This window comes from Homo sapiens, chromosome 3 (assembly GCF_000001405.40).
Source record: "Homo sapiens chromosome 3, GRCh38.p14 Primary Assembly".
Classification (NCBI taxonomy): domain Eukaryota; kingdom Metazoa; phylum Chordata; class Mammalia; order Primates; family Hominidae; genus Homo; species Homo sapiens.
Genome location: NC_000003.12, coordinates 48569525 through 48596196, shown reverse-complemented (window position 1 = coordinate 48596196; position 26672 = coordinate 48569525). Strand labels below are relative to the sequence as shown.

At 60.0% G+C, this 26672-nt stretch overlaps 1 protein-coding gene and 1 non-coding gene across 14 annotated transcripts in view, besides 3 other annotated features; both read left to right on the top strand.

Moving 5' to 3' along the window:
* Positions 868-26672, top strand: part of COL7A1 (collagen type VII alpha 1 chain) — a 31257-nt gene continuing 5452 nt past the window's right edge. For 5 of the 13 annotated variants that reach the window (XR_001740005.2, XR_001740004.2, XR_001740003.2 and 2 more), the window contains exons 1-102: positions 868-929; positions 1037-1122; positions 1649-1829; positions 2501-2660; positions 2748-2841; positions 2934-3095; positions 3259-3422; positions 3498-3627; positions 3730-3846; positions 3949-4095; positions 4183-4299; positions 4375-4524; positions 4605-4733; positions 5381-5524; positions 5613-5738; positions 5841-5984; positions 6479-6598; positions 6727-6870; positions 7202-7327; positions 7409-7555; positions 7793-7915; positions 8258-8404; positions 8643-8777; positions 8861-9007; positions 9089-9225; positions 9508-9634; positions 9719-9865; positions 9951-10123; positions 10222-10257; positions 10341-10367; positions 10463-10507; positions 10578-10640; positions 11081-11161; positions 11252-11287; positions 11428-11463; positions 11641-11712; positions 11822-11899; positions 12136-12162; positions 12244-12297; positions 12417-12479; positions 12582-12641; positions 12769-12804; positions 13026-13070; positions 13149-13184; positions 13544-13588; positions 13684-13719; positions 13839-13874; positions 14254-14286; positions 14438-14491; positions 14565-14624; positions 14714-14749; positions 14857-14937; positions 15040-15075; positions 15271-15315; positions 15545-15616; positions 15853-15897; positions 16140-16166; positions 16383-16412; positions 16529-16609; positions 16682-16717; positions 16793-16828; positions 16920-17000; positions 17243-17278; positions 17682-17744; positions 17832-17876; positions 19170-19205; positions 19278-19313; positions 19426-19521; positions 19640-19675; positions 19762-19797; positions 19901-19948; positions 20295-20330; positions 20449-20571; positions 20658-20858; positions 20955-20990; positions 21071-21133; positions 21332-21400; positions 21476-21520; positions 21647-21709; positions 21891-21935; positions 22307-22342; positions 22472-22507; positions 22640-22684; positions 22849-22881; positions 22961-23023; positions 23141-23176; positions 23255-23335; positions 23458-23526; positions 23659-23694; positions 23776-23817; positions 24026-24070; positions 24152-24196; positions 24919-24954; positions 25037-25096; positions 25229-25336; positions 25487-25558; positions 25697-25732; positions 25863-25922; positions 26019-26063; positions 26282-26317; positions 26437-26472; positions 26549-26605. Coding sequence is in view for 6 of the 13 variants with exons in the window: in NM_000094.4 (NP_000085.1) it covers positions 1038-1122; positions 1649-1829; positions 2501-2660; positions 2748-2841; positions 2934-3095; positions 3259-3422; positions 3498-3627; positions 3730-3846; positions 3949-4095; positions 4183-4299; positions 4375-4524; positions 4605-4733; positions 5381-5524; positions 5613-5738; positions 5841-5984; positions 6479-6598; positions 6727-6870; positions 7202-7327; positions 7409-7555; positions 7793-7915; positions 8258-8404; positions 8643-8777; positions 8861-9007; positions 9089-9225; positions 9508-9634; positions 9719-9865; positions 9951-10123; positions 10222-10257; positions 10341-10367; positions 10463-10507; positions 10578-10640; positions 11081-11161; positions 11252-11287; positions 11428-11463; positions 11641-11712; positions 11822-11899; positions 12136-12162; positions 12244-12297; positions 12417-12479; positions 12582-12641; positions 12769-12804; positions 13026-13070; positions 13149-13184; positions 13544-13588; positions 13684-13719; positions 13839-13874; positions 14254-14286; positions 14438-14491; positions 14565-14624; positions 14714-14749; positions 14857-14937; positions 15040-15075; positions 15271-15315; positions 15545-15616; positions 15853-15897; positions 16140-16166; positions 16383-16412; positions 16529-16609; positions 16682-16717; positions 16793-16828; positions 16920-17000; positions 17243-17278; positions 17682-17744; positions 17832-17876; positions 19170-19205; positions 19278-19313; positions 19426-19521; positions 19640-19675; positions 19762-19797; positions 19901-19948; positions 20295-20330; positions 20449-20571; positions 20658-20858; positions 20955-20990; positions 21071-21133; positions 21332-21400; positions 21476-21520; positions 21647-21709; positions 21891-21935; positions 22307-22342; positions 22472-22507; positions 22640-22684; positions 22849-22881; positions 22961-23023; positions 23141-23176; positions 23255-23335; positions 23458-23526; positions 23659-23694; positions 23776-23817; positions 24026-24070; positions 24152-24196; positions 24919-24954; positions 25037-25096; positions 25229-25336; positions 25487-25558; positions 25697-25732; positions 25863-25922; positions 26019-26063; positions 26282-26317; positions 26437-26472; positions 26549-26605 (7614 nt within the window). In the remaining 7 variants the exon portion in view is untranslated. Of the gene's footprint in view, positions 930-1036; positions 1123-1648; positions 1830-2500; positions 2661-2747; positions 2842-2933; positions 3096-3258; positions 3423-3497; positions 3628-3729; positions 3847-3948; positions 4096-4182; positions 4300-4374; positions 4525-4604; positions 4734-5380; positions 5525-5612; positions 5739-5840; positions 5985-6478; positions 6599-6726; positions 6871-7201; positions 7328-7408; positions 7556-7792; positions 7916-8257; positions 8405-8642; positions 8778-8860; positions 9008-9088; positions 9226-9507; positions 9635-9718; positions 9866-9950; positions 10124-10221; positions 10258-10340; positions 10368-10462; positions 10508-10577; positions 10641-11080; positions 11162-11251; positions 11288-11427; positions 11464-11640; positions 11713-11821; positions 11900-12135; positions 12163-12243; positions 12298-12416; positions 12480-12581; positions 12642-12768; positions 12805-13025; positions 13071-13148; positions 13185-13543; positions 13589-13683; positions 13720-13838; positions 13875-14253; positions 14287-14437; positions 14492-14564; positions 14625-14713; positions 14750-14856; positions 14938-15039; positions 15076-15270; positions 15316-15544; positions 15617-15852; positions 15898-16139; positions 16167-16382; positions 16413-16528; positions 16610-16681; positions 16718-16792; positions 16829-16919; positions 17001-17242; positions 17279-17681; positions 17745-17831; positions 17877-19169; positions 19206-19277; positions 19314-19425; positions 19522-19639; positions 19676-19761; positions 19798-19900; positions 19949-20294; positions 20331-20448; positions 20572-20657; positions 20859-20954; positions 20991-21070; positions 21134-21331; positions 21401-21475; positions 21521-21646; positions 21710-21890; positions 21936-22306; positions 22343-22471; positions 22508-22639; positions 22695-22848; positions 22882-22960; positions 23024-23140; positions 23177-23254; positions 23336-23457; positions 23527-23658; positions 23695-23775; positions 23818-24025; positions 24071-24151; positions 24197-24551; positions 24712-24918; positions 24955-25036; positions 25097-25228; positions 25337-25486; positions 25559-25696; positions 25733-25862; positions 25923-25944; positions 26064-26281; positions 26318-26436; positions 26473-26548; positions 26606-26672 lie in introns of those variants that run through there. The other 8 variants (XR_001740006.2, XM_017005688.2, XM_017005692.2 and 5 more) reach the window with 8 other exon arrangements.
* Positions 6462-7163: an enhancer, noted in NCBI's record as "H3K4me1 hESC enhancer chr3:48626467-48627168 (GRCh37/hg19 assembly coordinates)". NCBI's record gives its function as "activates a minimal SCP1, AML or CMV promoter by ChIP-STARR-seq in naive H9 embryonic stem cells {active_cell/tissue: H9 hESC(naive)}" and the evidence as "EXISTENCE:reporter gene assay evidence [ECO:0000049][PMID:30033119]".
* Positions 7164-7867: an enhancer, noted in NCBI's record as "H3K4me1 hESC enhancer chr3:48625763-48626466 (GRCh37/hg19 assembly coordinates)". NCBI's record gives its function as "activates a minimal SCP1, AML or CMV promoter by ChIP-STARR-seq in naive H9 embryonic stem cells {active_cell/tissue: H9 hESC(naive)}" and the evidence as "EXISTENCE:reporter gene assay evidence [ECO:0000049][PMID:30033119]".
* MIR711 (microRNA 711) lies at positions 17220-17295 on the top strand. The gene has a single exon (NR_031756.1). It is a non-coding gene; the product is annotated as a microRNA 711 (primary transcript).
* Positions 26002-26551: an enhancer, noted in NCBI's record as "H3K27ac-H3K4me1 hESC enhancer chr3:48607079-48607628 (GRCh37/hg19 assembly coordinates)". NCBI's record gives its function as "activates a minimal SCP1, AML or CMV promoter by ChIP-STARR-seq in primed H9 embryonic stem cells {active_cell/tissue: H9 hESC(primed)}" and the evidence as "EXISTENCE:reporter gene assay evidence [ECO:0000049][PMID:30033119]".

Here is a 26672-nt window from a genome sequence, read left to right as displayed (position 1 = left end):
CAGTGAGGAAAGGAGGAAGGGGCCCAAGGGGACCTCGGCCTGGTAGGGGAGATGGGTGGCAGGGACCTACAAGAAAAGTAGATGGAAGGAGAGGATGCCTGTGGGTGAGGACATGTAGGTAGGGGGACCTGGCCTGGGGCATGGAGGGCTCGATTCCTGAGAGATGAGCTGTCACTGTGGGTGGTCCCGCCCTCCACAGATGGGCGGCCCCCTCCCTGCAGGCACAGCTGGATTGCATCTGCCTGTGACATGGTAGGGGATGTGGGACACTGGGATGTATGCATAAGCATGACACAGGTTCTCTCCTCCTTCCGGCTTATCCCCTACAAAGAGGGGGTGAGTTACTTGGATCCAGGCCAAGGGGACCTTGGTTTCCCTAAGACCGGCCCAGAGTCACTCATTTGCCAGGGCTTCTTGCCTGTCAAGGAGATCCGGGTGGGGCCCAGGAGGCCCACCAGACAGATGGCTGAATCACAGGAGTGGCCGGCGGGACCCATGGCCTGAGGGCTTGTCTGGGCACCCCCACTGGATTGGGGGTGAGTCATCCCCAACTGCAGCCCCACCCCCCACGGCGCTGCTGCCTTGTGGCTCTGCAGGAACCTGTCCACTCCTCAGCCTGGTCACTGTGATTGACCTAAAGCAGCCAAGACCTGTGACCTTAGATGGAGTTAGGGGTACTCCCTCAGCATCTGCCCATGCAGAACCTTCTGGGAAATTCCCAGAAGCCACGGGGGGTCGGGGGGTTTATAGTTAAGTGCGTCATATCGTTTGTCTGGGGGAGGGGTGGGGGGGGCGGCGACCTCTCAGGGATATGGGTGAGGGCGGGTGCCTGGGTTCCCGCCTGCCGCTCCGCCCCCCGAGATCAGGGACTTTTCTCTGCTCTGCCCGAGAGACTGCAGCGGCGGCGGCGGGAGCGGGCGGACGCGCAGGCAAGACCAGGACTCGGGCTGGAGGGGCGCTGGGCTCGGACCTGCCAAGGCCACGGGGGAGCAAGGGACAGAGGCGGGGGTCCTAGCTGACGGCTTTTACTGCCTAGGATGACGCTGCGGCTTCTGGTGGCCGCGCTCTGCGCCGGGATCCTGGCAGAGGCGCCCCGAGTGCGAGCCCAGCACAGGGAGAGAGGTGGGCACCGCAAGGGAGGACCCGGCCCGGGGCACTGCACCGTGCCACCCTCCGCTCCACTCGGCCTTCATCCCCAACACCCCCCGCCCACAACCCAGCCAACTCCACGACGCCCCGCGGATTCCTCCTAATTCTGGGACTCCCCGAACCCTCCGCGATCGGTGCTGGGTTCCCTAAACCGCCTCCTATCCTGTTCCTACCCAAATTCTGGCTCCCTGGATGCGTGCGGGGTCCCCTGCCTTATGCCAATCCACGCCGGCCCCTAGAGGCTGACCTCAGTCCCAAGTCCACACCCGTGCTGGCGACTCTCCCTCCCCCGCACACCCCCAACCCTCCGCGGGAGTCTGCTCTGGGACCCACCGAGCTCAACTCCCTCCAAGGCCCTCAGGCTCAGGCCGATTCGGCCCTGGTTTGCATAAGATGAGGCCTACTCTCCCCACCATCCCAAGTCCCAGTGAGGCCACCGTGCGGGTAGGCGGGTGGTTGGCCTCCCAGAAGAGGCCCTGATCTCTCCTGCCCGCCCCAGTGACCTGCACGCGCCTTTACGCCGCTGACATTGTGTTCTTACTGGATGGCTCCTCATCCATTGGCCGCAGCAATTTCCGCGAGGTCCGCAGCTTTCTCGAAGGGCTGGTGCTGCCTTTCTCTGGAGCAGCCAGTGCACAGGGTGTGCGCTTTGCCACAGTGCAGTACAGCGATGACCCACGGTGAGTAGGGGCCCTGGGGGCTGGGGACCACGAGATCCCCACCAAGACTCCTTCCCCAGAGAGGGAGGAGACCCTGGAAACCCCAGGCCAGGTCTTTGCAGAAACAAGTTTTGGGGAACCTAGAGACCCCCTAGCCAGGACCTCCTTTGGAGACAGAGGTAAGGATTCCCTAGGTAGAACCTTCGTGCCCTGAGGCACCTCCAGGCTACTGCAAGACAGGAAGGTGCAAGACAGTGAGGCTGTGTTTTCTGATCTGGAGATGGGGAGCCCAGGAGGGGGCCCCCACGCCTGTTGGATTCTCCACGTTCTAGCCCTCTAACCCTTGCAGCCGTTCACCAGAGGTGCTCCATCTGGCCAGCATCCACTTTCCTACATCTGGACCCCTCCTCCTGCAATTATTTAATTAAGCAGCATCTTGTTCCCCACAGACTGTGAGCCCCTAAGGGCTCCTTCAGGTCTGCCCAGGCCCACCTGCAGATGGTGCACAAAGGAGCCCCTGGGGAGTTTGTTAACCTGGGGGTTCCAGAGGCAAGTGGGTGTGGAGAATGACAGAACGAAGGGACCCCTCAAGAGAGCCTGATACCCGTAACCCTCACCCTAGAGGCCTCCTCAAGGCCAGGGCCAGAAGAGATCCTGAGTCCTAGCCTGTTGCCACCCCTACCCTCCAACAGGACAGAGTTCGGCCTGGATGCACTTGGCTCTGGGGGTGATGTGATCCGCGCCATCCGTGAGCTTAGCTACAAGGGGGGCAACACTCGCACAGGGGCTGCAATTCTCCATGTGGCTGACCATGTCTTCCTGCCCCAGCTGGCCCGACCTGGTGTCCCCAAGGTGATCCCTACCCCTACCATGCCTCCCAAGATGACCCCAAATGAAGTGTCCAGGGGAACCGTGATTTGACCCCTGCACCTGTCCCAGGTCTGCATCCTGATCACAGACGGGAAGTCCCAGGACCTGGTGGACACAGCTGCCCAAAGGCTGAAGGGGCAGGGGGTCAAGCTATTTGCTGTGGGTAAGGACCGAGCAGGAGTGACAGGTCAGCTGGGGGGTGGGGGCAGTCAGAGAGCATGTGGGTGACTGAGTCCTGATGGGTCGTCACTTCAGGGATCAAGAATGCTGACCCTGAGGAGCTGAAGCGAGTTGCCTCACAGCCCACCAGTGACTTCTTCTTCTTCGTCAATGACTTCAGCATCTTGAGGACACTACTGCCCCTCGTTTCCCGGAGAGTGTGCACGACTGCTGGTGGCGTGCCTGTGACCCGACCTCGTGAGTTCCTGCCCACACGGTGTACCCTGACCTAGACCCCGGACCCCAATCCCCACTTGGCAGTGCTGATTCCATCCTATGTGCTCCTGACCCCGACCCCAACTCTGCATCATACATGCCCACCCCAATCCTCCTGCCTGATCCCCTGATCCCGCATTCCCAGCGGATGACTCGACCTCTGCTCCACGAGACCTGGTGCTGTCTGAGCCAAGCAGCCAATCCTTGAGAGTACAGTGGACAGCGGCCAGTGGCCCTGTGACTGGCTACAAGGTCCAGTACACTCCTCTGACGGGGCTGGGACAGCCACTGCCGAGTGAGCGGCAGGAGGTAGGATGTCAGGAGTGATAGGTGGTGGCTGGGGACTTGGCTGGGCAAGATAAAGTGACCTCTTGCCCTGGGCAGGTGAACGTCCCAGCTGGTGAGACCAGTGTGCGGCTGCGGGGTCTCCGGCCACTGACCGAGTACCAAGTGACTGTGATTGCCCTCTACGCCAACAGCATCGGGGAGGCTGTGAGCGGGACAGCTCGGACCAGTGAGCAATTCTGCCAGCCTCTGACCCCATTCACCTAACCCCCGACCCCAGTACCCCCTCCCACTTCTGACTCCATGAATCCCTGGTGGGACTCTCCCCCAGCTGCCCTAGAAGGGCCGGAACTGACCATCCAGAATACCACAGCCCACAGCCTCCTGGTGGCCTGGCGGAGTGTGCCAGGTGCCACTGGCTACCGTGTGACATGGCGGGTCCTCAGTGGTGAGTGAGAGATGTGGGCTGAGGGGAGTCCCCGCGCCTCAGACAAGGCTGTAGAGTCCTGAGTCTGCAAGGCCCACTGGCCCCTTGGTGTCCCCCATGCAGGTGGGCCCACACAGCAGCAGGAGCTGGGCCCTGGGCAGGGTTCAGTGTTGCTGCGTGACTTGGAGCCTGGCACGGACTATGAGGTGACCGTGAGCACCCTATTTGGCCGCAGTGTGGGGCCCGCCACTTCCCTGATGGCTCGCACTGGTGAGAAGGCTGGGCACTTTCTTCAGGCTGGGACGGGCAGGCAGGGCAAGGCCCGGAGGCCACTGACATCCCATGTGCCCTGGGCAGACGCTTCTGTTGAGCAGACCCTGCGCCCGGTCATCCTGGGCCCCACATCCATCCTCCTTTCCTGGAACTTGGTGCCTGAGGCCCGTGGCTACCGGTTGGAATGGCGGCGTGAGACTGGTCAGTGCGGGGGAAGGGATGGACAGGCAAGGGTCAGGGCATGGCCTCTGCTGGTCTGACCCTGTTATCTTGCAGGCTTGGAGCCACCGCAGAAGGTGGTACTGCCCTCTGATGTGACCCGCTACCAGTTGGATGGGCTGCAGCCGGGCACTGAGTACCGCCTCACACTCTACACTCTGCTGGAGGGCCACGAGGTGGCCACCCCTGCAACCGTGGTTCCCACTGGTGAGGGCTCTGTGGGCTGGGCCAGTGAGTGGGGGAGGTGTCGGAGCCCCAGGCTGCCTCTATGCTGTGCTCTCCAACAGGACCAGAGCTGCCTGTGAGCCCTGTAACAGACCTGCAAGCCACCGAGCTGCCCGGGCAGCGGGTGCGAGTGTCCTGGAGCCCAGTCCCTGGTGCCACCCAGTACCGCATCATTGTGCGCAGCACCCAGGGTGAGGTGGACGCAGCCAGCACCCCCACCACACACACTGAAGTTCCAGCCTGAGGGGTCTGAGTGTACCTCCAGCCCTCTCCTTCCACACCTGGGTCCCTATAGTCTCCTCCCTGTCTCGTTATCCATCTGCTTCCCAAGATGGCACTGAGCCCTGAACTGTCAACAGGGTGTGTCTGCCCCTACCCTACCCCAACCAATCTCCTCCCTGCCCCACACCCCATCCACGGCTTTCACCTCTGCACAGCCACAAGCTCAATCACCTGTCTTTCTGTTACCCTAGTGGTGACCACTGTACACCAACCTCTCATTGCATGTCCCCATCCAGCACTGACCTCTGCCATCCCACATCAGTGTCTGTCAATGGCTCATCAGTTCTCACTGCAGTCCACTGACTCCTGTCATCCTACATGCTAAGATCCCACAGACTCCTGTCCTCCAGTGTCCCTGACCATCACTGGCCCCTTTCATCCTATGTCCTTGTCTTGCACTCACTTTTTTCAGCCATATCCCAGCTCTCTGGTCCCCACCACCCCACATCCCCACCCCCATGGCCCTTCTCACTCTGCGTCCCTGTCCATCACTGCCATCGTCCCACATCCCTGTCTCTTTCTGACCCCTGCCCACCTACCCTGACTTCTCTCTTAGGGGTTGAGCGGACCCTGGTGCTTCCTGGGAGTCAGACAGCATTCGACTTGGATGACGTTCAGGCTGGGCTTAGCTACACTGTGCGGGTGTCTGCTCGAGTGGGTCCCCGTGAGGGCAGTGCCAGTGTCCTCACTGTCCGCCGGGGTGAGTACTGCAGGAGGCTTGTGGAGGACAGCTGCCTGCCTCACTCTGGTCCTGGTTCTGACTTCTGACTTCTGTCTGTAACTCCTAGAGCCGGAAACTCCACTTGCTGTTCCAGGGCTGCGGGTTGTGGTGTCAGATGCAACGCGAGTGAGGGTGGCCTGGGGACCCGTCCCTGGAGCCAGTGGATTTCGGATTAGCTGGAGCACAGGCAGTGGTCAGTGTGGGGTGTGTGGGGGGACTGCCAAAGGGACCAATGAGGGTATGGGTGCCAGAGGGGACAGGCAGGAGCCATGCCAGCATTTCCCTCTGACCTCAGGTCCGGAGTCCAGCCAGACACTGCCCCCAGACTCTACTGCCACAGACATCACAGGGCTGCAGCCTGGAACCACCTACCAGGTGGCTGTGTCGGTACTGCGAGGCAGAGAGGAGGGCCCTGCTGCAGTCATCGTGGCTCGAACGGGTCAGGCCCTGCCCCCGTCCCTTGGCTCTCTGCCTCCATTGCTCTTTCAGACCCCCATGCCTTCCCTTGCAGACCCTTGCTTCTCCCCAGAACTCCTGCCTCCCCCTTCAGAATCCCACTCCCTCCTCCCTCAGAGACGCTGCTTCCTCTTCAGTTTCAGCTGTCTCCCCTTAAGCCCTCCCCGTATTCAGATTCCTCCGCTTCTCTCCTAAGACTCCCACAGCCTTTGCCCTCAAATATCCACCACTTCAACCCTCAGACCCCCATCCCTTTTTTGCTGGACCCAAATCTCCTCTGAGATTTACACTTTCTCCTCCATCAGACCTGCTCACTGCTTCCTAAAACCTCCACCTCCCCACTCCTCCACTGGACCTATTCACCATCTCCTCTATCAAATTCCCGTCTCCTGTTAGACTCCCATCATCTTCCCCTATCAGATAGCCCCACTCCTTCCTGCCTGTTCCAGCAGACTCCCCATTGCCTCTCCCCACTAGACCCACTGGGCCCAGTGAGGACGGTCCATGTGACTCAGGCCAGCAGCTCATCTGTCACCATTACCTGGACCAGGGTTCCTGGCGCCACAGGATACAGGGTTTCCTGGCACTCAGCCCACGGTGGGGACTGGGGTTTGGGAGGGGGCAGGTCAGGGTGGAATGGGGGCTGGGGGTTTATTGGGGGTCCAGGTGGGGCTCTGGGGCACAGAGTTTGCTAGCCCTGGAGCTGCCTCCATCCCTGTTCCCAGGCCCAGAGAAATCCCAGTTGGTTTCTGGGGAGGCCACGGTGGCTGAGCTGGATGGACTGGAGCCAGATACTGAGTATACGGTGCATGTGAGGGCCCATGTGGCTGGCGTGGATGGGCCCCCTGCCTCTGTGGTTGTGAGGACTGGTGAGTGGACCCTGGCCAGCTACTAGCCACACCGCATTAGCTACCCTGCCCTGCTGTGTGTTCCTGATTGCCCAGCTGCCTCCACCCCCCTGCTCAGTGACTGTCCTGTCCACACTGACCCACCCCACACTGATTAAGTGTCCACCCACGGTGACCTCCTGGTGGCCCCACACTGCCCACCCCAAGGCACTGACCTCCTCCTCCTCAGGGCTGCCTAAAGTGACCTGTCCACACTAACCTCACACTGACTTTCAGATCACCCCTGCGTCAACCATTCCTGCACTGCCTCTCTGTTCTCTACCAGGACCCCTTACCTTGCCTCTGTCCCCAGCCCCTGAGCCTGTGGGTCGTGTGTCGAGGCTGCAGATCCTCAATGCTTCCAGCGACGTTCTACGGATCACCTGGGTAGGGGTCACTGGAGCCACAGCTTACAGACTGGCCTGGGGCCGGAGTGAAGGTATGGCTCCCTGACGCCACCCCTGTCCTTCCTGGCTGGGACTGCTCACCCCTAACCATTGCTGTATGCCCACCTGGCCAGGCGGCCCCATGAGGCACCAGATACTCCCAGGAAACACAGACTCTGCAGAGATCCGGGGTCTCGAAGGTGGAGTCAGCTACTCAGTGCGAGTGACTGCACTTGTCGGGGACCGCGAGGGCACACCTGTCTCCATTGTTGTCACTACGCGTAGGCAGAGCATGCGCTGGAGAGCTTCGGATGGGTGGTGTGGATGGTTTGGGGATCCGGGCTTGTGCTCTGGATTGGAGAAAGGACCAGGATTGGTAGTGAGCCTTTGGGGGCAGGGTCTGAGAGGAGGGAGAGGGGTCTGAGAGGCTGGGCGGGGTGCGTGTGCCAGGGTGGGCCTGGGATTGGTGCAGGGGCCATGGGGGCAGAGCCTCCCTGATTCCTGAGCTTTCTCTCCAGCGCCTGAGGCTCCGCCAGCCCTGGGGACGCTTCACGTGGTGCAGCGCGGGGAGCACTCGCTGAGGCTGCGCTGGGAGCCGGTGCCCAGAGCGCAGGGCTTCCTTCTGCACTGGCAACCTGAGGGTGAGAGGTGTCCCCAGGAGGAAGTTAGGGACCATTGGGGGCAGGGCTGTGGCAGACTCCGCAAGGTAGGCGAGGACAGTGATGGTGGGCGGGGTCTGTCACTGGGGGTCTGCGGGATCCGTGACAGTAGGTAAGATCAATCAATGAAGTGGGTGGGATCAATGAGTTCATGGAGGGTCAGTCTGGCAGGGTCCGTAAAGTGGGCAGGGTCAGTGAGGATGAGGAAGATCAGTCAGGAGGGTGAACCCAGTTAACAGAGCCAGTGAAGTGGGCAGGCCCTTTAATGCCCCCAGGTGTCACTATCCCACATGCTCTTGGCCCCCACCCTCACGCCTGCCCCAGGTGGCCAGGAACAGTCCCGGGTCCTGGGGCCCGAGCTCAGCAGCTATCACCTGGACGGGCTGGAGCCAGCGACACAGTACCGCGTGAGGCTGAGTGTCCTAGGGCCAGCTGGAGAAGGGCCCTCTGCAGAGGTGACTGCGCGCACTGGTAAGCCTGCCTCACCTTGGCGTGCTCCTCCCCTGCTGATGACCCACCCTGACTTCCTGCACCCCGACTCTGAGTGACTCCTCCTGTACCCCTACCCCTCACCCTCTGACCCTGGGTGACCCCAGCATGACCTCCCATGATGCTTCAATAAGACAAACCGGACCCAGGATCTCAGATCTCTCCCTTCTGGGTTCTCAGGACTCAGCCTCTGATCCTCGATCTTTCATTCCTCCTTCAGAGTCACCTCGTGTTCCAAGCATTGAACTACGTGTGGTGGACACCTCGATCGACTCGGTGACTTTGGCCTGGACTCCAGTGTCCAGGGCATCCAGCTACATCCTATCCTGGCGGCCACTCAGAGGCCCTGGCCAGGGTGAGGGGGAGGCCAGGATTTGGGTGGGCTGGCAGTTGGGGCTCTGTGGAGACAGCTTTTTAATCAAGTTCTGTCTCCTGCAGAAGTGCCTGGGTCCCCGCAGACACTTCCAGGGATCTCAAGCTCCCAGCGGGTGACAGGGCTAGAGCCTGGCGTCTCTTACATCTTCTCCCTGACGCCTGTCCTGGATGGTGTGCGGGGTCCTGAGGCATCTGTCACACAGACGCCAGGTATAGTGGGCGTAGTGGGAAGGGCAGAAAGGTGTGTCTGGGTGGGCTGCCCGCTTCAGTAACTTGTTCCCCTTCCTACAGTGTGCCCCCGTGGCCTGGCGGATGTGGTGTTCCTACCACATGCCACTCAAGACAATGCTCACCGTGCGGAGGCTACGAGGAGGGTCCTGGAGCGTCTGGTGTTGGCACTTGGGCCTCTTGGGCCACAGGCAGTTCAGGTTTGGCCCTGGGGCAGCCAGATTCTACCTCTCCCTGAGGCCCCCCACCCAGGCTCCATACCAGTTACCATCTCCTGACCACCCAATAGGTTCAGGCATTCTCCCAGCTCTCTCACAGGCTCCAGACCTCACCTACTGCCTGGCTCCCTATCCTGCCATCACTGCTGACTCCCTAATAGATAGGGTTTGGTCACACACACCCTGATGTGTTTCTCCAGGCTCTGTGCACCCCCATCCCTGCTCTGTCATCCTCCTCAGGCTCTGTGTTTCCTTCCACCCCAGGTTGGCCTGCTGTCTTACAGTCATCGGCCCTCCCCACTGTTCCCACTGAATGGCTCCCATGACCTTGGCATTATCTTGCAAAGGATCCGTGACATGCCCTACATGGACCCAAGTGGGAACAACCTGGGTGAGGACTGCAGCAGGCATGGACTCCTGGGGCTATCCACTGGGAGCTTGGTGCCCCAGGGTTCTGACATGTCCTTCCTTCCAGGCACAGCCGTGGTCACAGCTCACAGATACATGTTGGCACCAGATGCTCCTGGGCGCCGCCAGCACGTACCAGGGGTGATGGTTCTGCTAGTGGATGAACCCTTGAGAGGTGACATATTCAGCCCCATCCGTGAGGCCCAGGCTTCTGGTAAGGAGTAGGCTGATGGGGAAGGGGTCTGGGAATAGGGGTGGCCCTGAAAAGGCTATCATGCAGCCACTGGACCCCACCTTAGGGCTTAATGTGGTGATGTTGGGAATGGCTGGAGCGGACCCAGAGCAGCTGCGTCGCTTGGCGCCGGGTATGGACTCTGTCCAGACCTTCTTCGCCGTGGATGATGGGCCAAGCCTGGACCAGGCAGTCAGTGGTCTGGCCACAGCCCTGTGTCAGGCATCCTTCACTACTCAGGTTTGGAAGAGGCCTCTGGGGGACTGGGTGGTAGAATATAAGGGGTCTGGGGGTTCTTGGTAGAAATGTTCAACCTCAAAGAGACCCTATGTCCGCAGCCCCGGCCAGAGCCCTGCCCAGTGTATTGTCCAAAGGTAAGAGTCCCTCATCGAGAGGTGAACAGAGGCTGCACCTGGGGCTAGCCACTCTGACCCACATCTGACATGTCTTTCCCCAGGGCCAGAAGGGGGAACCTGGAGAGATGGTGAGTGCCCCTGCGGGCGGGGAATAGAGAATGGGTTGAGTGTCAGTGGGGCAGGAGAGGTTGGCAGCACAGGTCTCACTGATTACCCTTCCTAGGGCCTGAGAGGACAAGTTGGGCCTCCTGGCGACCCTGGCCTCCCGGTGAGTGTCCCCCACATCTGTCCCTGCACCCTGACTGGCTTATCCCCACCTAACTGCTATCTTCTTTCAGGGCAGGACCGGTGCTCCCGGCCCCCAGGGGCCCCCTGGAAGTGCCACTGCCAAGGGCGAGAGGGTGAGTGTGGAGACCATCGAGGTTTCTCTGAGGCACTCCTCAAAGCTGTCTCGGGGTTTTTACAAGAGAGAAGGAAGAAGCAGAGTTAGAATCATCGGGAATTCCTAGAAGCCCAGCTGGAGGTTATAAACCACCACAGAGACTTTGGGGGACACTCTGAAATAGAAGGGCCAGTGGGGCCTCTAGCCCCGCTGCAGAGCCTGAGCAGCAGCTCCAAGTCCCAGAGGCAGGGAAGCCCTCTGCCTTGTCGCTGCCCTTGTGCCTGGAATTGGGCTCTGTGAAGCTCTGAGGGGCCATTTCTCTGCCTCACTGTTCCACCCCCAATAACACTTGGGGGTCAGTGGGGTAGGCGACCCCTTGTTGATGGGGTGAGGCCCCTCCAGCAAACCAGGGGCCTTGGGGGAGGGTCCCTTCCTGTCCTGACCTCTTCACCTCCTCAGGGCTTCCCTGGAGCAGATGGGCGTCCAGGCAGCCCTGGCCGCGCCGGGAATCCTGGGACCCCTGGAGCCCCTGGCCTAAAGGTGAGCAAGCCTTGTCCTGCAGGTCAGGGTGGGCGCTGCCTGAGTGGGTGGGGTGGCTCCGACTGTTCTGCCTCTGGCCTCCATTTGCAGGGCTCTCCAGGGTTGCCTGGCCCTCGTGGGGACCCGGTAAGGTGCCTTCCCTTCTTTGCTCTCTAAGTGTCTTCCCAGGGTTCTTCCACAGGGTGGGAGCCTGGGGTGGTGGTGCAGTGCCCACGTTGACATTCGCCTGAGCCCAAGCACCACCCTCTGCTCTGTTTCGTCCTCAGGGAGAGCGAGGACCTCGAGGCCCAAAGGGGGAGCCGGTAGGTGAAGGGGGAAGGGAGGCGGCCGGGATGTCCCAGGGAGGAGCAGGACTGCCCCACACCAGACCCTGTGCAGGGCCTAAGGCGCGAATAGGAATAGCTGGACATGTCTAGGGGCTTCTTCCAGCTCAAGGCCCCCATAGCCTGAATCCTGCCCACTGCTCTCTGTCCTTACAGGGGGCTCCCGGACAAGTCATCGGAGGTGAAGGACCTGGGCTTCCTGGGCGGAAAGGGGACCCTGGACCATCGGTAAGTGCAGGGTATGTGGAGGCAAGTGATGTGTAGTGGGGGGACCAACACGAGGGGGGCGAGAGTGAGGTCTGTGGGGTTGCACCTTATACTTTGTCTCCTCCATCAGGGCCCCCCTGGACCTCGTGGACCACTGGGGGACCCAGGACCCCGTGGCCCCCCAGGGCTTCCTGGAACAGCCATGAAGGTGACAGCCTCATGAGTGCCATGTGATGCAGAGACCTGGTGACCCCATTTGAACCCACATAACCCCTGCCAGTTACTCTGGCCCTTGTGACCCTTTGATTACCCCCATCCTCACCATGACGCCTCAGTTCTCCCAAAATCCTTGAAATCCAATTGGACCCCATGACCCTCATCACTCCTGGTATCTTTGGGAGTGAGGTGTGGCCCAGGGTCATGGGGTCGTCATCTGTTTTCTAGGGTGACAAAGGCGATCGTGGGGAGCGGGTAAGTGAGGGACAGGTTGTGCTAGGGGTGGCTTGGAGTCTGATTCCCCTGTTCATTCCCTGACCTGCTGTTCTCTCCCAGGGTCCCCCTGGACCAGGTGAAGGTGGCATTGCTCCTGGGGAGCCTGGGCTGCCGGTGAGGGGCCTTGAGGCTCTGCTGGGGGCCCTGCTCAGGGGTGTGGGTCTCTCCTGGGGCAGTGGTTGGGTGCTGGGCTTCATAGTTCTTGGCTCATATTTTTACTCACTTCTTCCTAGGGTCTTCCCGGAAGCCCTGGACCCCAAGGCCCCGTTGGCCCCCCTGGAAAGAAAGGAGAAAAAGTAGGAAGGCTGACTTGATGATGTCCCAGTTCTGGGGTGGGAGGCTGCGTGCTGGGGGCAGGGCCTCCCTTCGGTCTTCCCACCCGTGTGTTTCTCCTTCAGGGTGACTCTGAGGATGGAGCTCCAGGCCTCCCAGGACAACCTGGGTCTCCGGGTGAGCAGGTGAGTGGAGGGGCCAGGGATTCTGAATATGGTGGGCACAGCTCCAGCCCCTACCTCAATCATCAACCACTGCTCCATCCTCATGCCCAAACCCAAATCTCTGAACCCCCAAATTCATCCCTTCCAGGGCCCACGGGGACCTCCTGGAGCTATTGGCCCCAAAGTGAGTACCAGTTGGGGGATTCAGGTGTGAGGGGTGCTACTCTGGGCTCCCCATGGTGTTAGGGGAGGCTGGAAGATAAGGAGATAAGAGTTCCCTCCAGGTCAGAGGTCGTGGTTTTGGAGGGGGTGGTTGGAGTTTGGGACCCCTTGTCTGGGGTTTGACGTTCAAGCCCCGCCACCAACCCTCTCTCTCTCTGTCTTTCTCTCACCCTCTCTCTTCAGGGTGACCGGGGCTTTCCAGGGCCCCTGGGTGAGGCTGGAGAGAAGGTAAGTGCAACCTGGGGGGTGCCAAGGGCCCTGGAGGATCTGGGCCCAACTCAGCTCTGACCTCTTCTTTTCCATCAGGGCGAACGTGGACCCCCAGGCCCAGCGGGATCCCGGGTAAACCCACTGGCTGCAATGCTCATACCAGCTGACCTGGCTGTGCCCTTTCTGGTTCTGACTTCTTGCCCTTGACCCCTGCTACCCCTGCTCCTCACCCCTCCTCAATGACCACTTATCCCTGCTGATACAGGCTCTAACCCTCAGCCCCAGGGACCTGGCTTTGAACCTCTGACCCTGCTGAACTGACCTTGATTTTCACTGACCTGGTCTCTGTTCTCCTGCCAAGTCTTACCCCTGCCAACCTAAATCCCAATCTTCCCTGACCCCTCTCCAGCCCCCACCCCAGCCTCTAGCCCTGTCTGTCCATATCCCCCGTCCCCACCCACCTGCACAGCTCTTCCCTTCCTCTCCTCCAGGGGCTGCCAGGGGTTGCTGGACGTCCTGGAGCCAAGGGTCCTGAAGTGAGTCTGTGACTGTGGTGGGACCAGGAGTGGGACTTTTGTGTGTCCCTCCCCTTTCCCTTCCCCTCCTGGGCTCACACTTTCTCTACATTCAGGGGCCACCAGGACCCACTGGCCGCCAAGGAGAGAAGGTGGGTCCTCGGCTGGGGGTGGCACTGTCTGGTACTAGGGATGTGGCAGATGGGACACTGGGATTTTGGGCTCCTAGGTGACTCCCTGACCTGTCCCTGCTCCTATCCTCTCTCCACAGGGGGAGCCTGGTCGCCCTGGGGACCCTGCAGTGGTGGTGAGTGACGGGAGGATGGCGCTCTGAGCACAGCACAGCCCTTGAGCAGTGACCCTCCTATAGAACACTATCTGGGCTGTGATTCCACAGTGCTGGGCCCGTGAGCAGGCTGGGAGCTCTGCGGCTCTCCTTCTGCTAGAACCTGCCCCCAGACTCTTGGCTATGATCCTGTGACCCCAAGACCGCCATGCAGGTCATGAGCTCTTTGTGTCAGTCCATTTTGTATAACCCCTTCCCTGCTGTCAGCGGTGACTCTGTGACTTCTGGGCGGGGACTGAGCTGTATGACTTCCAATTCCATGTGACCTCCATTCCAATGAAGACTTTGATCATACAACCCCAAGGCAGGGCCAAGCTGTATCTGTCCTGTTTGTTTTCAGGGACCTGCTGTTGCTGGACCCAAAGGAGAAAAGGTAAGCCTGGTATGGGGCAAGGGGAGGTTTCTACAGGGTTGAGGTCTAGGTCATAGGGCCTATCTATGGGACTTGGGGGGTCACAGGACTTGCTGGGTCAGGGGGTTAACTGGAGCCTGGGACTAGCACTGATGGTCTTTGTCACCTCCAGGGAGATGTGGGGCCCGCTGGGCCCAGAGGAGCTACCGGAGTCCAAGGGGAACGGGTAAGTGAAGCGAAGTGTTTAGGGGGCAGTTGGTGAAGGTTGTCTTCCTGACTTCTTATCCTTCCATCCACAGGGCCCACCCGGCTTGGTTCTTCCTGGAGACCCTGGCCCCAAGGGAGACCCTGGAGACCGGGTGAATCAATGTGGGAATGGGGAGTGTGACAGAGGGAGATGAGGTGGTGGGACCCTGACTAAGTCCTGCCCCCCTTCTGTCCCCTTCAGGGTCCCATTGGCCTTACTGGCAGAGCAGGACCCCCAGTGAGTACCCGTTACCCTGGGCAACCTCAAGGCTTCTGGGGTCCCCTCCCCTTGAGAACTGCTTGCTTCGAGCGTCCTGCATCACCTCCCTCTTGCCTCCTCCACAGGGTGACTCAGGGCCTCCTGGAGAGAAGGGAGACCCTGGGCGGCCTGGCCCCCCAGGACCTGTTGGCCCCCGAGGACGAGATGTAAGAGGCTGGAGTCGGGGGAGTCATGGCGGGTAAGGGAGTAGGGCTGTTGCCAGCATCATGGGGGTTCTTGGAACCAGGGCTGACTCTCATGTTTCACAGGGTGAAGTTGGAGAGAAAGGTGACGAGGGTCCTCCGGTGAGACTCCTTCCCACTGTGGTTTCTGATCCTTTACCCTTGAACTAGGATCCCAGTAGGCTGGTGCTCCACCAGTTCATCCATCCACTCCCTGCCTCCTGTCCAGCTGCTGCTCAGACCCTTCTCTGTCCCCTCTCCCTGAGTGAGTTAGATCCTGACTGCCCTGTGCAGTATGACTTTTCTCTCTATCACCAGGGTGACCCGGGTTTGCCTGGAAAAGCAGGCGAGCGTGGCCTTCGGGTGAGTCTTGGCAGAGAGAAGTAACAGGGGTGATGGGAGGTGGGCATGAAGGTGATAGGAAAGGCTGAGGGGGGTAAGGGGTGATGGGAGTCCCTGCAGGGAGGCATGGGGTGATGGGAACCTCTGATGTGGATTTTGGAGTAATGGGGAACCTGGGGCAGTGTAGCGGGTCATAGGGGCACCTGCAAAATATTGGGAGGGTCTGTCTCAGGCCAGCTGCTCTTCTTAGGGGGCACCTGGAGTTCGGGGGCCTGTGGGTGAAAAGGGAGACCAGGGAGATCCTGGAGAGGATGGACGAAATGTGAGTCCCAGCCTATGACTCCTCACCCCAACCTTAACCCTCCAACCAGCCAATTCCCAATACCTGATCCTACCCCCCAACCCTGTAATGCTAAACCCTCCCAATCTTCACTTCCTTTGACCCCTGCACACACGCATCTGAAGGCTACCAACATTCCCATGAGTCCTCATGGTGCTTCCAAAGCTCTCCCAAACTGCTGCCTACCTTGAGTGGCCCTGACCCCTGCCTTTCTGCAGGGCAGCCCTGGATCATCTGGACCCAAGGGTGACCGTGGGGAGCCGGTGAGTAGGGCTGGTGTCCTGGGCTCAGAAGGGATGGAGGGTCCCCTGGCGCTGCTGCCAGTGTGCCTTCACACAAGGGGTCTGGAGGTCCAGGTGGGAAGCATGGATGGCCACCCATGCCTGCTGGGGGCTGGCATTGGGGTGCTTCGGGGAACTTGGGGGCAGAGTTGAGCCTGGGGCAAACCAGAGCCATGGCCTGGGACCTGAGGGCTCCTATTGACTATAATCATTTCCTTTCCCAGGGTCCCCCAGGACCCCCGGGACGGCTGGTAAGGGCTGCGCTGGGTCTGGTCCTCTGTCATTGTTCTCACTTGCCCCTTTGGCTCCACATCATGTCCCCTCATTCCTTCCACTAACTCCCACTTCCCCCACTGTCCCTCTGAAACCTCCGCGGATCCCTGGAGCCCCTCACAGACCCTGTATCCCCTCGCCAACTCCTCTTCCCCTTGTTGAGCCATTCTTCTCACTGGTCATTCCCCCCACAGGTAGACACAGGACCTGGAGCCAGAGAGAAGGTATTAGGGTCTGTGGGTGGAGGGTAAGAAAGACCCCAGTGCCCCTCCCAGCAGGTTCTACCTTGGGCATGGCTTGGCTTCAAGGCTGTTCCTCAGCAAGCTTATCTCTGCCACAGGGAGAGCCTGGGGACCGCGGACAAGAGGGTCCTCGAGGGCCCAAGGGTGATCCTGGCCTCCCTGGAGCCCCTGGGGAAAGGGTGAGTGTGATTGGTCCTCGGGGGTGCAGGCATGGGAGGGCCTGCTCTGATTTCTTCCTCCCCTATCCTCAGGGCATTGAAGGGTTTCGGGGACCCCCAGGCCCACAGGTGAGTGATGCACTTTGCCCCGTCTGCCAAGTCCCCATCTTACCCTCACCTCTTATCTGACCCTGTTCCCTCCAGGGGGACCCAGGTGTCCGAGGCCCAGCAGGAGAAAAGGTGAGAGGGTGTGGGGGTTTCTCAGGACATGAGCCTGGGTTATCAGATCCACCTCAGCCTTGGTGGCCTCTTACCACTCTATTTTCCACAGGGTGACCGGGGTCCCCCTGGGCTGGATGGCCGGAGCGGACTGGATGGGAAACCAGGAGCCGCTGGGCCCTCTGGGCCGAATGTGAGTCTTGGTAGTCCTGCCTGGTTGTCCCCTTCCCCTACCCCTTCACATGAGGACCCTAGACCCCAGCCTCATTGGTTGGTCTTGGCCTTGACGAGCTCTGGGGCGAGACCTGTTGTCTGTGTCTTCTCCCAGAGCCCTGCCTGGGTGGGGCATGTTCTTGCCATGCAGGCCTTAGGCTCACAGGGACTAGAGCCCCTGACCCCATGACCATGATGAACTGACTTTGAGTCTCTCCTCAGGGTGCTGCAGGCAAAGCTGGGGACCCAGGGAGAGACGTAAGTGAGGGGAGATGCTGGGACAGAGGGGGCTCGGGGCTGCGTAAGCTCCAACCAGATCATCATAGTCACAGCATCCGAGAGAGTTGGTGGGGGGTCGGTTCAGCCTTGCCTTTGGGAGGGTCTCAGTCCCTGGCACACAGGTTTTAGTAGAATCCCCCTTTCTGACCTTCTTTGCCTTGGGGGTCTTCATAGGCCCTCCAAGTCCTGGGGGTTCTTCCCTTGGGAGTCTCAGCAGGGGCCCCCATCCATGGGGTCTGTGCCTGAGGGATCTCAATGGGACCTCTCAGTCCTGGGGGTCTCTACCCTGGAGGGAGATCTTTTTGGGGTCCTCTTAGTCCATGGGGTGTGCCCCAAGGGATATCTCAGAGGCCCTATAAATCTTAACAAAGACTTTTTCCAGGGGCTTCCAGGCCTCCGTGGAGAACAGGGCCTCCCTGGCCCCTCTGGTCCCCCTGGATTACCGGTGAGACCAGACTTTCATGTTACCCCCTTTTCCCCCTTACTACCCTCACCCGATCCCCGACATCCAACCAGTGATCTGTTCCCACAGGGAAAGCCAGGCGAGGATGGCAAACCTGGCCTGAATGGAAAAAACGTGAGTGTGTCCAGGGCAGCTGCGGCGAAACCTGCCAAGAAACGCCAGCACACCTACACAGCCAAGATCTGTAGCAACACATGAGGCACACGTGTAGACACATGCATCCTGGCCCAGACATACAGATGCATCCAGAAACATAGTTTTTTTTTTTTTGAGATGGAGTTTCGCTCTTGTTGCCCAGGTTGGAGTGCAGTGGCACAATCTCAGCTCACTGCAACCTTCGACTCTCGGGTTCAAGTGATTCTCCTGCCTCAACCTCCCGAGTAACTGGGATTACAGGCATGCGCCACCATGCCTGGCTAATTTTGTATTTTTAGTAGAGATGGGGTTTCTCCATGTTAGTCAGGCTGATCACAAACTGACCTCAGGTGATCCGCCCGCCTCGGCCTCCTAAAGTGCTGGGATTACAGGCGTGAGCCATTGCGCCAGGCCTGGAAACATAGTTCTATATGCACACACAGGCAGCCTCACAGACACATAGGGAGTTAGGTGAATGGGCCAATTTATGCCAGGATGGGCTGACACATGCCCAGATAACCCACAGCCATAGGCACAGGTGAAGAGCCACAGACAGGTCGACAGGCACAAACACACTGGTGTGTAGCCACATTTGGGGCACTTAGAGACATGTTGATACCCAGACACTTCCACCCAGACTCATGTGCTAAGACATGGACCCAAGACCGCATGTGGACCTGTGTTGAGACATGGTGAGACACACATGGATGGCTCTGACCTGTGACATGTGCTAGGACATGCTGGCCCATGACTTTATATGGTCACCCACACGCTTATGGTCATACACATTGAGCTACACACAAGAGTTGCAGACAGATGCCAAGACACATGGCTCTCAAGGCATGTATAAGCCCATGCTCTTTGGAGACATGTATAAGCCCATGCCCATATGCAGACATGGGCCAAGATGTGCAAACAGACCAGGACACACAGACCCATGGGTACATGTACTAAGACACACATGGATATGCACACACCCAGGACATGTGGACGATCACCAACCCAGAGATGCATAAATGTGGAGCTACCTCTAGAGAGCCAGAGTCAAAGGACATGTGTGCAGTTGCCTGTTGGGGTGAGCAGGCCTATGCAGGCACACCCTTAGACATGTAGCAGCTCACTCAGACGGCCACAGGCCATGCTCCAAGACACACACAACCATGGAGCTACAGGCACAGAAATACAGTCACAGTCATCTGAAATCTAGCAAGGTAGTGTCTTGCAGCCAGACACCAGTGAATGTTTGGGCTGATGTGAGTCCTCTGCCCACAGGGAGAACCTGGGGACCCTGGAGAAGACGGGAGGAAGGTAAAGTCCCCCACCTGGGGTCTCTCTGGTCTCTGCTTGGAGCCATGCCTGAAGCATCCTTGTCTTCCTTAGGGAGAGAAAGGAGATTCAGGCGCCTCTGGGAGAGAAGTGAGTATTGGAGTTTTCTGCAACCTCTGACCCCTGACCCTGACCCTGGGGGAATATGACTCCACTCTTTTCTGAGGTCTCAGGGTGCTGATGCTGGCTGCATCCTTCACAGGGTCGTGATGGCCCCAAGGGTGAGCGTGGAGCTCCTGGTATCCTTGGACCCCAGGGGCCTCCAGGCCTCCCAGGGCCAGTGGGCCCTCCTGGCCAGGTGAGTGTCCTGGGTCATTCTGGGACTTCAGAGCATTAGAAGCCATGATGTTTCAATGGGCAACCCTCCTGGGAAGCCATGGGCCTTTGTGACCCCTTTGTGTTCTGCCGTATCTCAGGGTTTTCCTGGTGTCCCAGGAGGCACGGGCCCCAAGGTGAGTGCGGATGTTGGGTAGGGGGCGTGGTGAGGGGGCTGACCAGGCTGGGGGCCATTTCCCCACCTGGTCATTCTTGTTTTCAGGGTGACCGTGGGGAGACTGGATCCAAAGGGGAGCAGGTGAGGCCCCCACCTTTTCCACATGCCCAGGTAGCCACAGCACCCACATGTGCACATGCACACCCATAGGCTGGTTCCTAGCAGTTTGTCTTCATCTCTCCAGGGCCTCCCTGGAGAGCGTGGCCTGCGAGGAGAGCCTGGAAGTGTGCCGGTGAGCCAGGCTTGGGATGTCCCCTTGACTCTGTTTTGCATGCCCATTGGGGCCACCTTGCCATCCCCTTCCCCTTGCCATGAGGCTCCATAGGTTCTGTGCTGTGTGTTCAGTGCCCTGCCCCATTGGGGTTCTTGTAGCCCACACTCAAGGGAACTTGGGCAGTGGGGACACACCAGAAAGGGGCTCCCAGGAGTCTCCAGCCATGCCTCAACCAAGTGCTAAAGGGTGCTCTGGGCAAGAGGCCTAGGGAAAAGGGTGTGAAGGTGCTTTCCTGAGGCCGTGCGGGGCAGAAGGCAGGAGCTTCTCTGTCATGGGCAGCCCTTCACCCAGACTTTGTCCCCAGAATGTGGATCGGTTGCTGGAAACTGCTGGCATCAAGGTGGGTTGTTTAGGGGCTGGGGGTAGGGACAAGTGGGGGCCCTTGGGGCTAGTGGTGCCCACAGGCATAGGGGCTGCGGCGACGCACCCCGCTCCTCTGACCTCTTGCTGTCCCTCAGGCATCTGCCCTGCGGGAGATCGTGGAGACCTGGGATGAGAGCTCTGGTAGCTTCCTGCCTGTGCCCGAACGGCGTCGAGGCCCCAAGGGGGACTCAGGCGAACAGGGCCCCCCAGGCAAGGAGGTGAGCAGAAGTGGCTCAGTGGGTTGTGCCCCGTGGAGTGGGGTGTAGCTGTACAGCCACCAGCATTCTCTCTTCCACTCCTGCAGGGCCCCATCGGCTTTCCTGGAGAACGCGGGCTGAAGGGCGACCGTGGAGACCCTGGCCCTCAGGGGCCACCTGGTCTGGCCCTTGGGGAGAGGGGCCCCCCCGGGCCTTCCGGCCTTGCCGGGGAGCCTGGAAAGCCTGGTATTCCCGGGCTCCCAGGCAGGGCTGGGGGTGTGGGAGAGGCAGGAAGGCCAGGAGAGAGGGTGAGGCTGGGGGCTGGCCAGGAGAGTGAGGGAAGAGGGGTTGGGAGGGGTGGGACCCCCCATGGGCTTGGCCCTCACCCGCTATTTGCATTTCAGGGAGAACGGGGAGAGAAAGGAGAACGTGGAGAACAGGTGGGCTGCGATGGGCTTCGTGGGGCAGGCTGTCTGGAGGCTGTGCTGGGGCTGCCACCCCATTTTCTTGTTTCCTGCAGGGCAGAGATGGCCCTCCTGGACTCCCTGGAACCCCTGGGCCCCCCGGACCCCCTGGCCCCAAGGTGATCACCCCATCCCTGCCTTAGTCCTGTGACTAGTGACCAGGAAGCCACCCTTAGCTTGGTCCCCAGAAATATGGTAGTGTGTGCCATAACCCTGGAATTTCTGACCCTATAACCCTCTGTGATCCTGAGATCTGTGATGACTCCCCCATGCCTCTATGACAGAGACATCTCTCCCCTGTGACCTTGTGTTTGTAGGTGTCTGTGGATGAGCCAGGTCCTGGACTCTCTGGAGAACAGGGACCCCCTGGACTCAAGGGTGCTAAGGTCAGTGTGTGGAATCAGCTCGGGGCCACCCTCTGCCATGGCACTAGGGACTGACTTGACATCTCATCCCCACAGGGGGAGCCGGGCAGCAATGGTGACCAAGGTCCCAAAGGAGACAGGGTGAGGCCTCTCTCCACCCTTCCATAGAGTCCCCCTCCTTTCTGGGGGCACACTAGAGGTGGTGTGCATATGCACCTGGGCACGTGGCAGGGACTGGGGGCTCAGGGCACGACACTCTGCCTTCAGGGTGTGCCAGGCATCAAAGGAGACCGGGGAGAGCCTGGACCGAGGGGTCAGGACGGCAACCCGGTAAGTCCTTGCCCAACAGCCACACATGTGCAAGAAGGTGGCTCTCACATGTATTGTCCTGTGTGCAGGGCTGGGGTCTGTACTGCCTGGGACTGTCTGGGTCCTGACTCTGTCTAGGGGGATGGTGGGTGGAGGGGAAGTTGGAACTGGGAAACTAAGGCCTTAAACCTATTCTCTGCAGGGTCTACCAGGAGAGCGTGGTATGGCTGGGCCTGAAGGGAAGCCGGTGAGTGGTGGCTGAAGCACCTGGCCCCAGGCTCCGGACCCTCCGCTAGGTGCTGCTGCTGCTGTGTGTGTGCATGTCTGTGTGTGTGTGTTTGTGTGTACCTGTGTCTGTGTGCCTCTCTGTGTGTGCCTGCTTGTGTGTGCCTGTGTCTGTGTGTGCCTGTGTGTGCCTGTGTCTGTGTGTGGTTGTATGTGGATGTGTGTGTGCAGGCCCGTGTGTGCTATCTATGAGAGGCAGTCCATGGGTAGGTATTATCTGTGACTGGAAAGGGTGAGGTATGGAAATTGACCCCCAAGGAAAAAGCCCCCAGAGGTTGGGAACAGGCCCAAGTGAGGCCCAGATTGAGGCTCATCAGTGCCCTCTCTATGTAGGGTCTGCAGGGTCCAAGAGGCCCCCCTGGCCCAGTGGTGAGTACCCAAGAACCTTCACCTGTCTTGCCCCCATCCTGTGCCCTGCCCCAGTGACCAGTACTGCCTCAGTTTCCTTGGTGGGGTGCGGCTAACTCCCCCTCATCAGACTCTTTTTCGCCACAACAGGGTGGTCATGGAGACCCTGGACCACCTGGTGCCCCGGTGAGTGACCAGGGAACACTGCCTGGTGAGGGTCTGGAAGGGCTGGGATAGGCATTGGCCACAGCTGATGAGCCAGGCCTTCTCTGTGTTAATCCCTGAGCCCTGTTCCCTGCCCTTGACCCTTTTCTCTAGGGTCTTGCTGGCCCTGCAGGACCCCAAGGACCTTCTGGCCTGAAGGTGAGTCTAGGTGTGTGGATAGGAGGAGGAGGCTCCTTCAAGCTGTGTCCATGCCTGGGGTAGTGTGCGCCAACCTCCTGGGCTGTCATCTCCTGCAATGAGGATGAGCTCCAGGAGCCCTGGCCACGTGGGCTCTGCTCATGCAGTCTCTGGGTTGTTTGCAGGGGGAGCCTGGAGAGACAGGACCTCCAGGACGGGTGAGTGGCCTAGCTCACAGGTTAGGGTCATAGGGAGATGGGTGGGGTTGGCACTGCCCTGAACTTTCTCTTCCTCCAGGGCCTGACTGGACCTACTGGAGCTGTGGGACTTCCTGGACCCCCCGGCCCTTCAGGCCTTGTGGTGAGTGAGTCCCTGTGGCCCCTGTAGGGACACCGTGTTTTCACTCCTTGGGGCCCATGTTCTCTCATGTCGTCCTGTGTCCATTGTCACCCTGACATCCGACTTGTTCTCCGTCAGGGTCCACAGGGGTCTCCAGGTTTGCCTGGACAAGTGGTGAGTTCTGGGGGTCAAGGGTTGGGCTCCAGGGGTCAAGGGTCGACAGGCAGCCCTGACAGAGCTCTTCCCTCTCAGGGGGAGACAGGGAAGCCGGGAGCCCCAGGTCGAGATGGTGCCAGTGGAAAAGATGGAGACAGAGGGAGCCCTGGTGTGCCAGTATGTGTTCTGGGGGCAGCTCGCTAGGGTGTGGTGCCCAGCTGTGGGCCTGAAATATGAGGAGTGGGGCAGCAGGGGTGGTGGTGGAGAGGCACTGAGTTCCTCACGCTGCTCTGCCATAGGGGTCACCAGGTCTGCCTGGCCCTGTCGGACCTAAAGGAGAACCTGGCCCCACGGGGGCCCCTGGACAGGTGATCTTTGACCCTGACTTCCACCCCCTGCAGCAACTCCTCTGCCTCACCCACAAGCCTGTTTCCAAATGCCATGGGGGTGGCAGGGTGGGGGCGGGGGAGGAGGAGGAAACTCACTAGCATTCCCCACAGGCTGTGGTCGGGCTCCCTGGAGCAAAGGGAGAGAAGGTGAGTGTGTGTGGGGCTGCCAGTGAGGGGGGGTCAACTGGTGGGGGCCAAGGAATCCCACTGACCTCTCCCCCTTACCAGGGAGCCCCTGGAGGCCTTGCTGGAGACCTGGTGGGTGAGCCGGTAAGTAGGGAACTTCTGACAGCAGATGTTCTGGGGGTCCTGTCTCTCCAGTGGCCTAACTTCTGACCTTCGACCCATAGTTTACCCACCCTCATGACCCTCAGCTTTCATAGTAGACCGCATATTTAAGCTCTGGCCCCATGCCTCCCTCCGGAGTCTCATCTTTCTGTGACTGATGCCTGTGTTGCCTCCTGACCTCTGTCAACAGGGAGCCAAAGGTGACCGAGGACTGCCAGGGCCGCGAGGCGAGAAGGTGAGGTGGGTTGGCCCTGGGGCCTGACTACTGAGCAGAGAAGGCTCAGTCCAGACACCCCTCACCTGCCATTCTGTGCAGGGTGAAGCTGGCCGTGCAGGGGAGCCCGGAGACCCTGGGGAAGATGTGAGTCCGGGGCCTAGGCAAGGGCGAGCCTGGCCTGAGGAGTGTGATGGCGGGCATAAGGGGCCACTCTTGGGCCGGGGCACATGTCTGAGCCCCTGAGTCGGGCTGCATGTCCCAACATCCAGGAGCCTGCTCTCTGGATCACAGGGAGCCACACACTGTCGGCTTCCACACTCTGAGCTCTGGGGGCCCTGTCTTGGCTTCTGTGTGCCCATCCTTGGTCTGTTTCTCACCACATCTGGGCACACGTGTGCTCTGGTCTGATCTCCCAGATCCCAGGACACACCTGAGTTCTTGTGAACCTCTCCTTGGTCCTGTGTTTACAATCCTCCTTTCCCCTGCCCCTGGCTGCCAGCGTTCAGCCTGTGGCCATGCCTGCTCTACCCGGGAGTGGACGTGTTGGGGTTCCCCTCTGAGCGCCCGTGTGTCCGCACTCACGTCTGTGGAGCCAGATGTCTGCACTCGCGTGTGGGCTCCCTGTGCCTGTGCCATGCCTGAACTCCCACCTGTCTATGGTAGTATCTGAGCGTCCCTCTGTCTGTGCTGTCCTGAGATAGGCCATGGTCATGTCTGAGCTCCTGTGAGCCAATTCTTGGTCGCATGTCTGAGTTCCCATGTGTTCATGGTCACATCAGAACTCCCCTGGGAATATTTTCAGCCCGTGTCTGAACTCTGTGCTCATGTTCCTACCCTCTCAAATGCTGTTTGCTGGGTTTTCTTAGGGTCAGAAAGGGGCTCCAGGACCCAAAGGTTTCAAGGTATGTGTACCCAGAAGGGTCCCTGCTGGGGTCCTGGTCGTGAGACTCCCTGAGCTTGATCCGATGCCTCTTTTCCTCAAAGGGTGACCCAGGAGTCGGGGTCCCGGGCTCCCCTGGGCCTCCTGGCCCTCCAGGTGTGAAGGTAAGTCAATGCCCCATCACCAGTTGTAGGGGCAGCAGGCCGGGCCCCCACAGGAGGAAGAGGGAGTTCTGATGAGAGTCCTGGGAGGGGTCCTGCATTGACCATTCCCTCCCTTTGCTGTTTTTATTTCAGGGAGATCTGGGCCTCCCTGGCCTGCCCGGTGCTCCTGGTGTTGTTGGGTTCCCGGGTCAGACAGGCCCTCGAGGAGAGATGGGTCAGCCAGGCCCTAGTGGAGAGCGGGTGAGGGGCTGGGAACAGCATGTAGGGGCATGGTGAATCCATGGTGGGTGAGGAGGGGGCCCTGCCTTGGGGGTTCCCAGTCTTGAGGGGGCAGAGGGTAGGAGGGTTCCCAAGTCACTCTCTGCCTCTCTTGCCCCATTTTTCTGGTAGGGTCTGGCAGGCCCCCCAGGGAGAGAAGGAATCCCAGGACCCCTGGGGCCACCTGGACCACCGGGGTCAGTGGTGAGTAGAGGTGCCCTAAAGCCCCACGTATTTGATTTCCTGTCCTCGTGAGGACTTAGGATGGGGCGGGCCACACTGTGGGGTGTTGGGGGAGGCGCTTTGAGAGCCACAGGACCCTCACCTCACTCTGACCTACAGGGACCACCTGGGGCCTCTGGACTCAAAGGAGACAAGGTAGGTGGGACAAGTGCTGCTGACTCTCTCTTGTGCCCTGGTCACCCCCTTCAGCCTCCACTGACCTCCCATGACCCTGCGTCCCCCACTGATTCCCCTCACTGATCCCCGGTGTCCTGTTGGTCTCCAGGGAGACCCTGGAGTAGGGCTGCCTGGGCCCCGAGGCGAGCGTGGGGAGCCAGGCATCCGGGTACGTATGTCTTACTCCACAGCCGAACTCCCTTCATCCCAGCTCTTGCCTCTGATTTCCAACCTCTGAGTCAATGAACCTAATGTCACCATCCAGGGTGAAGATGGCCGCCCCGGCCAGGAGGGACCCCGAGGACTCACGGTGGGTCCCGCTGGGGAAAGTGACAGTGCTGTGACTTCAGTCCCCTGCCTGTGCCCTTTGTACCCCAGGACTCTCTGCCATCCTCCCTAGCCCTCTGGCCCTCCTCGTCTACCCCTGTCCCCTTTGTCTGGTCCCCACTGTTTCCCTCCTCCCCCTGATCCTCCTCCGTCCTCCACTGCCCTGGTTCCTGTAGCTCACGGTCACCTTCTCTCACACAGGGGCCCCCTGGCAGCAGGGGAGAGCGTGGGGAGAAGGTAGGAACGTGGGGAAGGTCCTGGCATGAGTGGGGGGGTGAGTGGATCTTGTATGATATTAGAATTCAGGTGCGGGGCCTCCCCAGTTTGGGCGGGACTCACACTCTTTTGCCCAATAGGGTGATGTTGGGAGTGCAGGACTAAAGGGTGACAAGGTGAGTGTGGGCATGGGGAGGGCAGGGCAGGGGCCAGGGTGCTCCCGACTCCTCTGATTCCTGCCTGCCCCCTCAGGGAGACTCAGCTGTGATCCTGGGGCCTCCAGGCCCACGGGGTGCCAAGGGGGACATGGTGAGTGGGCCCACGTGTGGACTGGGTCTCCCCTGGGTGCGAGAGGGACCCCGTGGGGCTGGCCCAG